The sequence below is a fragment of the Homo sapiens genome, chromosome 21 (assembly GCF_000001405.40).
Source record: "Homo sapiens chromosome 21, GRCh38.p14 Primary Assembly".
Taxonomy (NCBI): Eukaryota; Metazoa; Chordata; class Mammalia; order Primates; family Hominidae; genus Homo; species Homo sapiens.
Genome location: NC_000021.9, coordinates 7,456,808 through 7,474,655, shown reverse-complemented (window position 1 = coordinate 7,474,655; position 17,848 = coordinate 7,456,808). Strand labels below are relative to the sequence as shown.

Sequence of the window (17,848 nt, the reverse complement as noted above, 5' to 3'; positions counted from 1 at the left end):
ACAAAGCTGGTTTCCTTTTATTCCTAATTTATTGTTTTTATTATAAAATATTTTGAATTTTGTAAAATACGTTATCTGTATTAATGAGAGAATACTTTTTAAAAAGTTTGTCAATGTGGCATATGCATTGATTAATTTTCATATGCTTAAACTTTTGTTAAGAAAGGCTAGCTAAGTGAACCAGTGAGACTGGAAAAAGAATAAAGAAATCTATACTGGTTGTGATCAATTATTTGTAAACACCACTGCACTGAAACCACCCATATGCTAAAACTTCCTTTCATTCCAATAATAAACTCCCCTTGGTCATGGGTTGTAATCTTGCTAGTATGCTGCTGAATGTAGTTAGCTAGGATGTTGCTGACTAGTTTTGCATCCGTGTTCATAAGGGATATTAGTCTATGGGTTTTTGTAGTATCTTTGTCTGGCTTCGGTATGAGCTAATGGTGGCTTCATGGAATAAGTTTGGAACTGCTCTCTTCAGGCTTTTGGTAGACTTTGGAAAGGATTTTTGTTCTATAAATGCTTGATCTAAATCACTAGTGAAGCCAACAAAATAAGGGCTTTTCTTTATGAAGAGGCTTTTAATTACTGATTCCATTTCCTTAGTAGTTTTGTATCTATTCAGATTTTGTATTTCTTTGTAATCAAGTCTTGTATACCTAGGAATCTGCCCACTTTATCTACGTTTTCCAATTTATCATCCTATCATAGTTCACAGTACAGTTTTTTAAACATTTTAATTCTTTGAATTAGTAGTAATGTCCCACTTTCATTTCTCATTTTAGTATGTGAATATGCTGTTAATTTTTTGTGTGTGTAGCTGAAAGTTTGCCAATTGTTAATTTTTTGAAGAAGTGAGAATGAACTTTTGGTTTTTTGGAATTCTGTGGTTTGTATAATCTCCATTGCATTTATCTCTGCTAAAAGCTTTAATATTTTCTTCTTTCTCTTTGCTTTGCATCTAATTTGGTGTTATTTTTCTAATTTACTAGGTGATAAAGTTATTATTTATTTGAAATCTTTGTTCTTTTTAAATGCATTTTAGCTGCAAACTTTACATCTTAGCACTCTTTTTGCTGTTTCCCTTAACTTTTGATGTGTTTTGTTTTCATTTTTCTTCCTCTGTAAGTATGTTCCAACTTCCTCTGTGATTTCTTCCTTTACTTATTTGTTGTTTAAGGGTATGTTGTTTAATTTATACAGTTTTGTAAACTTTCTAACGTTTCTTCTGTTATTGATTTAATTTGAGATCTACTACACAGCCCATCGTGGGGAAATCCCCATGTGCATTTGAGAAGAGTGTGTAGTCTCTTTTGTTGGATGGAGTATATTGTATATATCTGTTAGATCAATTTGGTTCATTGAGTTATTCAAGAACTCTATTTCCTAATTTATCATCTATCTCATTTTTCTATTCATTACTCAGAGTGGAGTATTAACATCTTCAACTATTATTTTAGAACTGCCTTTTTGCCCCTTTAATTCTGTCAAGTTATGCTTTCTATATCTCAATGTTTTATTATTAGGTATGGGTTTAAACTATTTCTATCTTCCTGCCAAATGGACAATCTATGACTATATAATGTCTTATTGTCTCTTTTAAGTTTTTAAGTCTATTTTGTCTGCTATTAATATAGTCATTCCCAGTCTCTTTTTCATACTATTGGTATAAAATAATTATTTTCTTCCTTTTTTTTTATAACCCTCAAGTCCTGTGGAAGGCTAAGAGCAGCATTACTTAATTTAAAAAGCAGATAAATCTTAAATCCATAGTTTAATATTTCTAAAAGCATTTAAATGGAAATGAGCTACGCAGTCTACCAGGAACGAAGGATATCAGTTGGGTCTAAGAATAATCATGTCAAAAAGCTCTAGGAGGAAAAGCTGCTGGGAATTAAGACTGTGATAACGGTCTTTGGGATCAAGAAGGAAATGGGGAATTGGGGATGCTCAAGGTCAGGTACATGCTTAGCAAAAGACCCAGAAAACCCTAAGCTCTCACCTCTGCATTTTAAACTCTGCACAAGTAGAAAGTAGAGGCTCAAGGAGAGATGTAACTTTATGCTGATTGGTAAAGGCATGCTCCAACACACATACATAGATCTCAGGTGAAAAAATCAGATATTTATGTTTAGTGAGAGTTAAAAAATCTGGAGTCTTACTTTCCAATTAAGGTTTAGTGAAAATATTTGGGGAGATTTGCATTGATCAATTCATCCTGAGGTCAAGAAAATCTTGATTTTGGCATTTGGAGCCTCTAGTAAAGGACTAGCCTCCTCCCAGAGGTGTTCTTTGGGCTTTTGGACTCAGTGACACACTACTGGTTACACTGATTTGAAAGTCAGCTAAGAGCTTGCTGCAGAACTCCTGACAAACTCAGTTTCACCCATAGAGGGCTAGAGCATCCCCAGCTGGTTGAAATTTTATGCCTCCTTCTATCCTCTGAAGCAAAGATGCTGTCTCTGTGGGGCCCCCAATTTACTGAGTGTTTCCTATATGACTGGTCCTGGTTCATAGATGAGTCAGGGAAGGTGAAACCTCATGATGTCCACTGGGCTGCTGTGGCTGTTTAACCTGTGCCAGCCATACAGAACCTGACATGAGTGGTTGCTCCTCTCAAAGGTCAGAACTCAGGGTTTGGGATAATGGCACATATTCTATCTGTTTGGTTATCTACAATGGAAACTGTAGACTGTCTGAATATCTTTTGGGCTGCAAACTGGAGACAATCTCAGATGCTGATCTAACTGGATCACTCATCTAGAAGTCCATGGTAAGGGTTTGTTTTCTAGAGAGTGACAACAATCAAGCTGCAGATTGAACCTAAATCTGTGTCTAACGCAGAGTCTAATACTGCAAACCAGACTTGGGGTTGCTGGTGAAAGTTGACCTATTTGTCTCATGGTTGAAGAATTCCTAGACCATACCAAGCAGAGTAACCAGAAGTGGACTTTTGGCCCACTTCTTGAGATATCAGTCACCACTCTTGACATCTTCAGCATAACAGTATGCCGACACCATCCATACCATGTGTCCCGTGAAGCTAATCTGTGCCATCTTTTAGGCTTTTGAGACCAATTGAGCTCTGACTTCGCGGCATTTTTCACCACACGTACTAAAACAAGCCAACTCTATGATGTTCCCTCCTTTTCCACACATGCTGGTTAGATAATTTGTTGATTAGGTATGGTTTATTTTCTCTTCCTGATTGCCTCCAAGATAAGGATGAAATGTTTGGGGGATCTAGGAATCATCTAGGAATCTATTTCACAAACTTGGAATTTCGTGCTAATAATTCCTGGGTGAAATGTGACTTTCTTTCCCATAACTGCAATTCTAGGCAAGCCTGGCTTTTGTATCCTCTGAGTTGCATCTCAGCCTAGTAGCAGTTATGGGACTCCAACTTAGTTCCAGCTAAGTTTTATGTAAATATTCTTGTCTCTATTTTACCTGGCTCTAGTAGATAAAGTGTCTAGAAAAAAGTAGAGGGCGACTAGAATAAAGATGAGATTATAGGTACCGGAATGAGACACACTGATTCTGTGGAAGTAGTGGGAGAACAACCTGGAACCTGGGGTATGAACAACACAGACCTCGGAAGCTACGGGAAACGGTGGGACATTAACAACTTTTTTTCTTTCTGAACAACCCCTGGTGCAGCCCACAGAAAGGTCTGGAAATACTATTAGTTAGATCAGACGGTAAGGCAGAGGCTGTGGATTCATCTCCTTTTGGTCCCCACATTACTCTTAAGAATCCTTTGAGACTATTCTATCTCTCCGTGATGTAGGCATGGAACTCTAGTGGGCAGTGTGCACTCTCGGTGCCCATGGTTCCAGGCCACAGTTTTTCAGATGATGGACAACAATTGCTTTTTCCTGAAGAGACTTAGTACCCTGTGGCTGAGCTTAAGCGGGACTCTAGACAGCATTGATTGCATTTTCTTCTTCCTCTACGAACTGGGATTTCTCCTTCTGTTTTTCTACTGCCTAGAGGTGAATCTGTATTTGTCAATATTTAGGTAAATCAGAGACATAAATCAGGTAAGGAACCCTAGACACTGCTTCTAGGCTAGCTGGACTCTTGCCTATTTCCCTTCTCACTTTATGAGATCAATTATATTGGCACAGGTTGATACCCTTAGATAGTGTCTCTAAGGAGCAATTAGAGAAGCATACTTCTAGAGAAGCTGGTAGGACAGGGCAGGAGGGCCAATGAGGATCAAAGTTTCTGTCCAAATTTTTGAGCCTAGGTGTGTGTGGCCGACGAATCCAGGAAAGATCCCAGATCCCTGGAAGGGATTGTTAAGAGAGGATCCATTAGATTAGAATGCTAGGGTGGGTGTTCATCCGTCGCCTTCTGAGTGGGATTTTCAGGGTTAAGACTGAGGTAGGGCTGCAGAGAAATGCTATCCTGGGAAAGCCTCTGATCGAGTGCAACATAGGTGGCTCCAGCACAAGGAGAAGTCCTCTATTTGAGGAACATTATACTTGTGTGGATGTGTCTGTGCTCTTCCTCAGCAGAGCCCCACTGACTGAATGATTGTTTGAGAATTATGAGTAAAGAGCCCTATATTATTTTGAATTTAGTAAATATTGGAAGAGAAACAAACAATATTATCTACTTTCAAATTGAATAACAGCATGAGCAACTTTCAGGAAAATGTCACAGGAGGAAACTCCAGGGCCTTGCTCATCCCTGGAAACCTTGAAAATCCTGATGCAACCTGTAGGGTTAAACTTATCAATACTTAATTTTTTGCCATATAGATTTATCTTCATAAAAAATATTTTCATTGGACCTTCATTTTGATATATGCCATGAAGAATAAATCATTTATTTCCTTTGTGATAAGAACATCACATTTTTACACCTCATGTATAAATGATGCCATCACCCATGTAGTTTTTATTGCTATGGCCTGAATGTTTATGTCCCCTTTCAAATTCATGTGTATAATTTTAGGCGTGAGGCCTTTGGGAAAGTGGTGAAGCCAAGAGTTCTTCATCTTCATGAATGGAATCAGTGCTCTTTCAAAGGAAGTTGAAGGGAATGCCCTTGTCCCATGTGCGAGATGGTACCATCTATGGGGAATAGGGCTCTCACCATATACGAAATTTGCTGCTGCCTTGATCTTGCACTTTCCAGACTCCATAACTGTGAAAAATACATTTCTCTTATTTATCCTTTACCCAGTCTAAGGTATTTTGGTATAGCAGCCAAGATGCACTATGACACTTTCTTAGACACTTTGGTTTATTTCTGAATTTTTAGTTTCAGTGATCCATGAGTTTTTTAATCAATCAAGATTTTACACAGGGCTTGCCAGTGGTTTTTTTTTTTTTCAGAGTTTTCTTGTCTATTCTTGTTTGTGTTTTCATCTATATAACATTTTATAGTAACGTGTACTTGCAATATTTAATGGTATCAGTATAGGAACAAAATTGAATTTATAAATAACTATAAGGACAATTGATGTTGATAATATTGAGTTTTTCTGCCTAAGAATATGATACAAATTGTCTATTTGCTTATGTCTACATTCATATATTTCATAAACTTTCTATGTTTTTTCCATATTCCGTAGATATTTTTGTAATATTTATTCCTAGTTTATTCTGCTAAAAAGTAATTTGAGACACAATGAAATTGCAAAGTGTTTATTTGAGTAAGAGCAATTGATAAATTATAAAATATCAGACGGAAAGATATTGAGTGCTTCATTGACAGTGTAAGAAGCAAGTATTTATTTGAAAAATGTAGAAACAAAGAAATCATTTGGTGGTAGCACAACTTTTTTTATTGTTTTTTGTTTGTCTGTTTACCTTGTTGGACAGTTTCTATTTATATAAGGTTGTTGGCTACTTCTGACTGGTTGAGCTTCATTTCTCTTTTTTCAATATGCAGCTACAAGAAATAATTTAAGTTTTGTTTGTATTTGCAAATCAAGCGAGGTTGAGATCACTTATGAGACCTAACTAATTTTGTCTGCTCAGAGATTATTGAGACATGATCTCCATTTTAATTTCCTTTAACAAATTTTCTGTACTTTTACTTTCCATCCAAACAGTAACTTATAAATTATTATTGTTGTACATATGTAGGCCCATGTTGTGTATGCTTTGAAGACCTGTCCTGCATTCAAACTCATTTGTATTATGTTATTATTGAATTTGCCCCATTTATTGGAATTATAAACTGCAATCCCCCAACTACAAGAGGTATGAGCTCTGATGAGATAAGAGTAAAGATGAATCAGAAGTGAAAACAGTCCTCCAACCCACACATGCAGTAAAAACAAATTTCACATGAATACAATGAGTAATTATCTAAAATTTAAAGTACCCTGAAAACATTAATGTTTATCTCATTATTATGTAATATGGAAATTACAAGGCAAAAAAATCCAAAGACTTACTGTTTAAATATAATTGAAGTTTTTTATATGATGAAGTGCTCCATAATTTAAATGTAAAAAGCCAATAGGAAATATATGAAATAAAATAAAATTATACGTAAAAGTGACAATGCCTCTATTAGATTTAACAGTATCTTACAATAGAATAAGTTGAAACCTACAAAATGGAAGAAAGTTTAAAATTAGGCAGATATTATCAGCCTGGTGAAGAATAAATACATATGTCAATAAGCATTTAATGTATTTTGTCTTAGATTTTACATGAAATAATAAAAAGTAAGCAAACCAATAGCATGGTAGTTTCACCCTGATTGATTCAAACTGAAAAAATATTAACATTTCTCCATGAGAAGTTGGATTCATGGATTGGCCTCATGCTGCATTCAAGGCACTTTAGCCAGGATCCAACACTCATTGCCAAGAGTCAGCAGGCTAGAAGTTTGCTTTTAAGATGTTCCCCGGCCTGCGACCAAGACGCTTTTTCCTGACTACTTCTTCAACTCTGACATAGGTTTTGCTGATATAAACGCAAACCCGGCTCTATACCTACCAAGTATCTACTTGGCTAGAGCTGCAAATGGAGCATTTAGGCACTAGGCAAGAGCTCTTCCCACGTTTCCAAGCACACTTTCTAGAATTTCCCAAAACTACTGACATTGTCTTTCAGACCCCATCTCCCAAAGAGAATCAGAGAGATGGTCTGGAAGCCATTTAGAATCTCCAGCCTCCAACCTAGTAACAATGGACTTGGATACAAAGACGCAACCTACTGACCTCAAAGACACCAGCCCAGATTCTGGGCATTGAATTCCTGCCTCCCCATGAAAGATCTCAACTGAGTCACATCAAAGCCCACACTCTTCTTCAAGGTTCACCTTCCAGACACGCTCCAAAACAGTCCCTCAGAATTGTCTTGAGATGAAACAAAAGGTGATGAAGGTCCAGGTTTGGAATGCCTGCCTCATTCTTCACTCCTGAAAAGTCTACACCTGCTGGTTAGCACTCTCATATGTTAGGGAGCCCGGGCTCTGAGTGCATCCTTTAACAGGACCTCCTGGCCTTTTCCTACTTGGAGTAGAGTGCCCAAGAATAATAGGGAATACAAGGCCTCCACTCTCACATGGCTTGATTGACTGATGAACTGATGTCGGAGGAGGAAACATATGTAGGGAACAGCCTGGGTCTTGTGAATCCGTTTCCCAGCTATGATGCCTGTGCAAATGGAGGGAGAATCGTCAAGTATTATTGGGTGGTAGACAGACACTGCCTAATAAAATTAAGTAAATGTAAGGTGACTTGAAGGGGAATTTATCATATGTCATATACAAAATTTTAGTTGGTCAACTTTATTTAAAAACAGTCACAATTTGTAAGGGCATTCAAATATAATTTTAATAGGGAGCTATGAAAATTATCTGCACTTGCTATGTAAGTGATTGAGTTAGGGGTAACTATCTGAAGGTCATGAGCTTGATATCTGCTACTTAATTTCATAAGACATTTACTTGCAAATGGTTGCCATTTTTGCTCTCACTATATGAAAATTTTTTCTTGCAAAGAGCATTCCTATGAAAGAAAAACTAGAAATTTTGCCAATTTCGGCTATTAAAACGATAAAACTGGTTTGTTTGTTATTCTTAACCAAATGCTCTTACAGATGACACATAGTACCCATGCTTTGATTGTTTTTTGTTTTTCTTTTCACCTTAGGTCAATTGCCTTTCATTTTATTTATCAAACTGTATTTACTGTAGATAGACATTGCAGTTCTCATGTGCCCTATGGATTTGTACTTTCTTAGAAGTATGAAAAAATTCTCAGGCTGAGTATATTGGCTTATGCCTGTAATCCCAGCAATTTGGGAAGCCGAAGCAGGTGGATCACCTGAGGACAGGAGTTCAAGACTAGCATGGTCAACATGGTGAAACCCCATCTCTCTACTATTCACAGTTCACATTGTACCTTGCAATGAATATACATTTTATCCAAAAAGGCTAAAAAATAATGAAATTGGGGTGGAAATGGCTGGAAGTATAGGTGAAACAAAAATGACACATGACTAGTAGCTGTTAAATCTGGGTGACTGGTCTGTTATCCTTTTTTTGTATTATGTATACGTTTTTAATGTTCTGTAATAAAACACGTGTAGAAAATGACAAAGTTTATCTACACTTAGCTCTTAAGGTCTTGGTTACCTTTGGGAAGGAGAAAGTGTCAAGGGCATGAGCAAATCTGATTCTTACATACACAAGTGTATTTATTTAGTAATAATTCATCAAGCATTCCATAAATATTTTGTTCCTATATTGCTGTATGCATGTTATTCATCAATAAATATTTAAATAGTACATATTTGCATAACAATCCTAAATTAATATTTTAGAATAATAGTAATGTTTTGTTTTGTTTTAAAGTGGGGCGTGTTCACTCAGGACATCGTCAGGTGTATATTAATGTTCCAAGATATTTATTTACGTTTTAACTTTTGGAAGAGTCCCCTAGGTCTTTTAATTTTTACCTCAGTACAGTAAGTAGCATGGTTTTAACTTTTTGGATTGCAGCTTTGTTTTCAGAAAGGTTCTCCCCGAAGAATGATGCTCACCCCGGCCAGCGCACACAGCACAGTGACCCGTGCACAGGATGCACTGAGCACACACGGCACTGGGTGAACCATGAACAGAAGGACAAGCCAGCCTGGGTCTGCAAAATATACTTTGCAGGAAAAGCAGGTAAAATTGAAAGGTCACAATTCAGCAGCAAACGTTTTTACATTCATTTGAGAAATCATTTCTAACAAAAGCTGCTCGTTAAAGCCATGGTTTTCTGGCTTGCCTACACATTGTAATCACCTGCACAACTTTCAACCGTATTTTTTTCAGATCCAGCTCCAAGGATTCTGATTTAGTTGTGCGGTTACAACTTGGGTTTAAGGGATTTTGATAGTTTTCCTCCCCGCAGGTGACTCTCTTGCGCCAGGGGTAAGAAGCGCTGGATAGGGGTGAGGGGTGCTTTAGCTGTGAGAGATAGCCATGTACGCTTCAGGATTTGCCCCATCGCATATCTGGAGTTCGGGGTCTTAGAAAATATTCTTGCCCTGTTAAAAATTAAAGGATGGCTTCAATACAAATTTAGCTATTTGGCTACGTTGCAGAAAAAGAAAATGCCTTTCCAGAGATCAGTTTTTTGAGTCAGAGTTTTGTTCTGTCAGTGAGGCTGGAGTGCAGTGGTGTGATCATGGCTCACTGCAGCCTTGACCTCCCAGGCTCAGGTGATCCTCCAGCTCCAGCCTTCTGAGTAGCTGGGACTGAAGGCATACACCAGGCATGGCTAATTTTTCAATTTTGTTGTTGTTGTTGTTGAGATGGCTTTCTCTATGCTGCCTGGGCTAGTCTCAAACTCCTTGCCTCAAATGATCCTCCCACATCAGTCTCCCAAACAGTTCAACCTACACGAACAGGCAACCATGCCTGGTGTATTTATTAAAATGTAGCTACTAGAATATTTAAAATTCACATGTGCCTCACATATTATTTCTTAGAGAATTGCCTCATTTTTGAAATCTCAGGCTGCCTGCTCTAAAACCTGGATGTGCCAGGAAAGTAAAACATCTGAAATTTTAAAACAATTGTCATTATATTGCTTCCATGTATGAATAACACATATATATTTTTCATAAATACAAATAATCTTACACACAAATGAAAATGCAAGTATTTTACAGGCAGGGCCAGTGTCCAGTGCATGAAGGAAGCCCTGCCAGAAAAGGATCCAGGAAAAACTTATAATTCTTGCTTTATTCAATCCAGTGTCAAATCACATATGTCACTCATGGCCTGAGGGGGCTTGGTGGGGAATTGAACTATATCCAATCATGGGTGCTGGAGTGGAAATTATCTAATCAGGTGCACAGCTGGAGAAGAATGGGCAGCTTTTTGGATCTAGGGATGCCTTTGCCTGTCTCTCTACTCAGAGCTCAGGACACTAGAGCCACCTCAACGCAATTGCCTGTTTTTTAGTTGTTTTAATGCTCCAAAAGAGAATTAGTTTTCTCATGCATTTTCCAAATGTGTGGCAAGAAGAGCCTCAAATCTACCACCCTGTTACCCCAGCCTAACTCTGGCTTGCTGTCAGAGTTTAAATTTCCAGTTCTTTCCTGACACTTACCAACACTAACTAACCTTGTGTAACTCACAACATTATCAACTGTTCTTTATTGTACATTTTAGACACAGTATTTTAATTCTGCATTTTTTCAAAAAGCAGTGGATGACACTTAAAAAAATATTTTTCATTTGTAAACATTTTACAGGACATGAAAGCAGATAATAATCCCCTGACAATCCACAGTAAAAAAAAAGAAAAGAAAAGAAAAGAAAATATTTGTGCCCCTTTCTTTAATCTTCCCTTGGCACAGACACCCCATCAGAATGTTTTTGGGTTGAGGTTTCATTTCAGAAACCTCACAGGGCAATACATCCTCAGCCATCTTGTGTTATTTTCTTGGTTTTGGGTTTCAAAACTGTTTGAGAATCCCCAAGATACCAACACTGGCCATGACTCTTGAAGTGTCTAGTAAATAACATCCCTTGTGTCATCTCCTCTCAGGGAACAGCCCAAGGTATGGGAATGCAGCCTCTTTTTGGAGTGGTTGGATGCACTATACCTGGAAGGAATCTCCACGTATACATTTGCGCTAAAAGCAAACCCTTTAGGACATTAAGAATTTCTTACCCCAACGCTTAGTTTCCATTCCTTAGAGACACATTGCATGCCAGGCAACTGGATGCTGAATAGTGAGGAAAAAATGTCCTCAGATTGGTGAAGGGAGAGAAAATATTTCAAAGGACAAAGAAACCCAACCTAGTGAGGCAGTGCAAAAACCTGCAAAGTAAAATGCACCTCACAGACACAGTGGAGCAGAGCGTAGCAGCTCCTGGTAGGACGCTCATGACCCACATCACTGAACCAGATAGAAGCAGGGAAAATATCCCAAGTAATAGAACGGCTTGACTTGACCCTTGGGTCAGATATGTCTGTGTTTCAATCACCATTGTCACCTTCTAATTTTGTCACCTTGAAAATATGATTGTATTTATTTTAACTTCACTTTTTCATTAACTGTAAATTATGTTTTATCAGTAGAGCTTCAAAGGTATGAGAATATTTATAAAGCACATTAAGTTGGTGAATTTTGAATAAAATTAAGTAGTAATGTATTTCATTTGTTAAAAATTGTTACTTACCTATTTCCTCAGCAGAATGAGTGTAGCATGTCTCCCAGGTCTGTTTTTTATTTGTTTGAGAGGTGATTTCAAGCAGAATCTCACAGCTTACTGTTGGAAATGCTATCAGTTGTAAAGATAGGGAAAATCTCTCTTCCACTACGGTGGTAGGAAATGAATACATATCTGCAAGCACATGAGGTAGATTAATTGTCAAATTACATAAATTTATCACATAAGTTATTCTTTTTTTCAAAAGAGAGAACTTGTGAAAGTGAATAACTCTATTCCATATGCTGCCATCTGGGTGTTTGAGGGTAATGTTAAGTTTTAGGAGCTGGGACTTTGCACCTCCTGGAAGTGTTCACATATGATTAATTGTTTACTAAATGATTTGTTTTGAACATAATTAAATTACATGTTTATTTTCTGAAAGGGATAGATACTTTGGCTTTTCTTGATGAATTATAAGATATAAGCCCCTTATAATGTTTTTATTTTATTTTATTCTGTTATTTTTTAGATGTAGTTTCACTCTTCTTGCCCAGGCTGGAGTGCAATGGCAAGACATCTGCTCACTGTAACCTCCAACTCCTGGGTTCAAGCGATTCTCCTGCCTCGGCCTCCCGAGTAGCTGGGATTACAGGCATACAACACCACACCTGGATAATTTTGTATTTTTAGCAGAGACGGGGTTTCTTCATGTTGGTCAGGCTGGTCTCAAACTCCTGATCTCAGGTCATCTGCCCGCCTAGGCCTCCCAAAATGTAGGGATTACAGGCATGAGTCACCATGCCCGGCTGTAATTTCCTCTCTTTTATATCTTAGATTTGAATAATTTTTGCTGGATTCTTCAAACATGAAGTATTTTTTGAATTGAAAACTAACTGAATGACTAACTGGTAAATAGAAGTCTTAGACCATTGACTAAAAGCTAAGGCCCACCTTGACCCTGCAAAAGAGGACCACTGAAGGCCCAGTTGATTATTCCTGGGTGTCTGCCCTGCAGGTGTCCAAGCCTACTCACACCAACCATGGAAGGAGCCTTTGTCACTGCCAGAAGATATAGAGCCTTGGTAAGCTGGAAGTTCACAGGCAGATGCAGTTGAGGTTGAGATAGAAGAAATGTTGGGAGATTCTTTTTAGAATGGAATTGTTATTGTCCTCAGACTGTTTCTAGACTTGGTCTAAGAAGTTACCTAAGAAGTATTGCAACAAAGAAAAAGTACAAATGATTAGATCTTTGAGTATCTCTAAGGTTAGGTGGAAAAGGGCCTTATTTCATAGGGAGGAGAAAACAAGTTTACAAAGAAGGTTGGAAAGGAAGCACACGATGGAGGGTAGCAAAATGCGATCCCAGATAAGATAATGTTTCACCTTGAACTCAGCCTGTTCTTAGGAGGGGTATGTATAAATAAGGGTTGTAGGTTTGCTGAAGCTGTGGGTGAGTCAAAGTTCAGGGGCTGGTTGGAAGAAGAGAAACAAGCAAAGTTTCTTTAAGAGTATGTTATTTGGACCACTGAAGACTAAATTACTGAATGGTTGTTCATTTTTAAAAATGGGAATTTGCAATCTGTGTCCATTTTTGTGATAGGTTAAAAAAACAGCAGGGAGCATCCTCAAAGTCATCAGGGGAAGCACGTTTCTCTTCACTAAGCTGTTCTTTGAGAATGCAAAGAATGGGGGAATTTCTTTAAATATAGCTATTTCCAGGATTGCCTTCACCCACAACTGTTCCTTGCCCTAGACATCTCTTCCATTTGGCTGTTTCTGAGTTATATTTTTATAATAAAGTAGTAAATATAATTACAGTTATTTGTTGAGGTTTTCTTTTTAGTAATTCTATCAAATTATTTAACTTGAAAAGGGGTTTATGCTAGTCTCAGATTTATAGGAGGTAGCTCAGAAGTGTAGATGGGCTTCAGGGATGTGTAACTCTCCTCTACAGTGAGAGGGGTGATGTGGGACTGAGCCCTGAATTTCTGGGATCTGTGTGAACTCTAAGTTGTGTCAGAATTAAATTTTGGGGCAACAAATGGGTGTTGGAGAAGCAGTGGGTTTTCAGGGAACTTTACACATTTAGGATCAAAAGTGTTGTAAGGAGAAAGACAATGTGGGGGCCTCTGCTGGAGAGAGACTCCAGGTGTCTCGGGGAAGGTAGGCTCTGCTCTGCACACAGGCTGCTACACCATGCACTGCCCTGTGGTTCCAGGCATTCTCCCATGGTAAGAAGGACCGACGACTCTGAGGGAAGAAGTTCTGAGAACAGATGCCTTCTACCCTCCTGCCAACCTGAGGCCACCACAGGTTTTTCACCCACTGAACATACACACTGCATGTTGATGTGGCCAAGCCCCTCTCAGGACAAGGCTTTGGCATCAAGATTGTTGCCCATGCTACCTTTCCTCATAGACTTTCCCACCAAAAACCCACACATGTGCCTACAAGACCCCTGGCATACGTTCTACCTCAGACACCGAATCTGCAGGGGCAACCTGGTTTTTTCACCATCCCAGGTTTCTGTGCCACCTGATCATAATCTCGTCTTCCTGCATGGACACAGAAATAAGTCAGAGTAAAGTTTCACCTGGGTCAGTATCTGTAGCATGAACCAGTCCTTCCACCAACCCTGTACTGTCTCCCAACTGTGGGTTCTTAATAGCACCTTCCCCTCTTTTACCTTTTAGTTCACCTCAAACCTTTTATTTACGTGCACTTAGTGTGTCCAAGCCACCCCTCAGTTGCCTGAATCCAGCACCTACTAAAATTCAGATGTCCAGTAGTTCAAGACCATGGGCCTAGACCATGTTTTTGCAGAAGGAAATACATATTAGAAATGAGAGGCTCTATTCTCCCATTTGAAAATTAAAAAAGATATTTTTTCTTTTCCCTTTTCTTAAACAATGTAATTTAGAGAACTTTTTTTAGTAATTTTTTGAAATGGAATCTTACTCTTTTGCTTAGTCTGAAGTGCAATGGCATAATCATAGCTCACTATAACCTTAACTTCTTGGGTTTGAGCAGTCCTCCTGCCTCAACCTCTTAATTACCTAGGACTATAGGCATGCACCTCCAGGCCTAGCTAACTTTTTATTTATTTATTTATTTATTTATTTATTTATTTATTTATTTATTTTTTCAAGACAGTGTCTTGCTCTGTGGGCCAGGCTAGAGTGTAGTGGCATGATCTTAGCTCAATGCAACCTCCGCCTCCCAAGTTCAAGCAATTCTCTTGCTTCAACCTTTTGAGTAGCTGGCATTACAGGCGCACAGCACCATGCCTGGCTAATTTTTTATTGTTATTATTTTTAGGAGAGAAAGGGTTTCACCATTTTGGCCAGGCTGGTCTCGAACCCCTGACCTCATTATCCACCTGCCTCCGACTCCCAAAGTGCTGGTATTACAAGCGTGAACCACCATGTCCAGCCATATTTATTTTATTTATTTTTTTATGGTGACAGAATTTCACCATGTTGCCTGTACTGGACTCAAACATTTGGCTTCAAGAGATCCTCCTGCCTTGGCCTCCCCAAATGTTGGGATTACAGGCATGAACAGCCGTGCCTGGCCTGGAAAACTTTTATATGTATCTTTTTTTCTCTGCTTCTTTGAAATATAAGCAAATCATTTTAACAGCTAAATAAGCCTTTTGCCACTCTTCATGACACAGAATTGTCTTTGTCTAAGACCTGGAAACTATTGTTTTGTTTTTTAATTTGGCAAAGATTTATTGATTTTTTATTTTCAGTCTTTTGAAGTAGGCACAGCTCAGTACAGTGGCTCATGTTTTTAATCCCAGTGCTTTGGGAGGCTGAGATGAGAGAATTGCTTGGGCCCAGGAGTTTGAGACCAGCCTGGGCAGCCTAATGAGTCTCCTTCTTTATAAAAAATTAAAATCAACTAGCAGGGCATGGTGGCACAGGAGGCTGAGGTGAGAGAATCATTTGAGCCCAAGAGTTTGAAGCTGCAATGAGCCATGATCACAGCACTCTACCACAGTACTCCAGCTTGGGTAACAGACGGAGACCTGTCTCTAAATAAATAAGTAAATAAAAAAAAGTGTTTTTCCATACATAAAAATAAGTAAATAAACAGATAAATAAAATAGACATGGATTTGCTGAGAATAAAGCTAATTACAAGATAACAGAAAAGTGAGAACCAAAGATGGGGTTCACCCTAGCAAATGATTCCAGCCTATTAGAACACTCAGAATTTTCCCTGCAGCATGACCGACATGAAAGTAGAATGTCATCATGTCAGGCTGTACCAGCGTCGGGAGACTAAACACTGTGGGGAAGAACCTCCCTTATGGAATATTATCAACAGGTGAGAGCCCAGCTCCTGCCCTGATGGGCTACAGAAATGAGTTCCTGAGATAACACATTGCAGAAACATGCATAGAGTAGTTTAACCTTTTTTGTGTGTAACCCTTTCTCCATTTTCCTGCGAAATCCTCCCTAGTAATAGTGTTAGCTTTTAAGTTTTGAGGGTCCGATAGGACTGAAGCTGCATGCTGCAGGAGATACGTGGGGCCGGAAACTAACACAAACTGCAGCCACAGGCATAAATACTCATGGCCTAATGTAAAGTGAAAACTATACAAAATTCTTTACCGTTATTCGCACAAGTGTGTGAAGAGAGACTTTCCACATAACCAACTTGCCACTGAGACTAGTGAAGGCCAGATTCCACTGGAACAAGGCTATGAGTTACTCATGGGAAGGCCGTAGGACAAAGCCCAGAGATTTTTCATATTTGAGTCTGGGTCCTGTTTCTTTCCCTGTCTTCTCAGCTTTCTGTCTGTAGAGACCCCTATGTGGCTGCTCTCAGCACAGCCCAGTGCTGGCTGTGTTTGCTGGTTTAGTGCACCTGCTCTTTTTCCAAAAAGAGGGAGGAGTTGGCCACATTAAACTGAATGATGAAGCTCCTCATCAATCTGAATGCAGCTTTGTAAATGTGCCTAGAAACCACGCAAAGAAAAGTCTGTGTTCTTCCTTGCTTTGACCGTATGTGACACCTCCATTAGAAATTCTGCTTTTCTCTGCACTCCAGCCTGGGTAACAGAGTGAGACTTCATGATAAATAAAAAAGAAAGAGAGAGAGAAGGAAAGAAAGAAAGAGAGAGATGGAAAGAAAGAAAGAGAAAGAAAAAAAAAAGAAAGAAGAAAGAAAGAAAGAGAAAGAAAAGAAAAGAGAAAAGAAGAAAGGAAAAAAGAAAAGAAGAAAGGAAAAAAGAAAAAAGAAAATAAAAGAAATTCTTCTCTTCAGATTAGGCACATAAGGAGAATCTGTATAAATCTCCATGAAGGAAGGAAACCAGAGGACAAGTTAAAGTCTTGGAATTCACATCTGAGTACACAGACTCGTTCTCCAACCCTCTTCTTTTTATTCTGCCAGCTATGGCCTAGGTATGAACATGACAGGTACACAAGAGTTCCAACACCCGACAATCTACTTCAGTCCAAGAAGAGTGCCCTCCCTCTTGCTCCCCATCCAACTCATGGTACTAAGAAGTGGTGTGGGACTGCCCAGATGAGTTGACAAGAGAGGCTGGCGTGGAGGGGCCTGTCCTGGGCTGCCCTGTGTTATTTGTAGGTGCACCCGGCCAAAAGCCAGGGACATCAGTGATGAGGGCTCAGTTGACATCTGTGTTATCAGATAAGACTTTTACATTGAGCCTTTGTAAGGCTGAAACTCAGAAATTTCAGGGCACAATGAAAGAGCATCTCACTCTCTTGAGCAACTCTCACAAACAGAGGTGGATACAGAGCTGTCTCAAGAATGTGGATTCCTGGTTTCTTAACTGCTGTTGGGTTCTGACACCAAGAAAGTATGTTAAACTCTTCAAGGTTCCATCTACTGGGCCCCATGTTTCTGTAAGACATACCGAAAGGCCCCACTATGCTACTGATTGCTCAGTCTCCTCTTCCATGTCAACTCTTTATTTGTACACAATTATGCAAACACAACTTCCCCTTAATTCCCTGGAAAGACCTAAATGCAACCTGGGTTCCAGGATAGAAGAGACAGCTGGAACATAACCTTGTTTTTCTTACCATCTCTGGGACCCAGTAAAAGTCACTGTATTCAAGGCTTCCCCAGCCTCCTAACATGCACACTGGTGATGATGCTAACATCTACTTCCTAGGGAATGTATTAGGTGTATATAAGATAAGACATAAAAATAATGATGTAGTGTCACC

At 38.9% G+C, this 17,848-nt stretch overlaps 1 long non-coding RNA gene across 1 annotated transcript in view; it reads right to left on the bottom strand.

Annotated features, from left to right (window-relative positions):
* Positions 1-5,647: 5,647 nt before the first annotated feature.
* Positions 5,648-17,848, bottom strand: part of LINC03105 (long intergenic non-protein coding RNA 3105) — a 38,341-nt gene continuing 26,140 nt past the window's right edge. Inside the window, exons 2-3 of the long non-coding RNA NR_170980.1 lie at positions 11,665-11,829; positions 5,648-7,633 (exon numbers count right to left, since the gene is read on the bottom strand). This is a non-coding gene — a long non-coding RNA (long intergenic non-protein coding RNA 3105). The remainder of the gene's footprint in view (positions 7,634-11,664; positions 11,830-17,848) is intronic.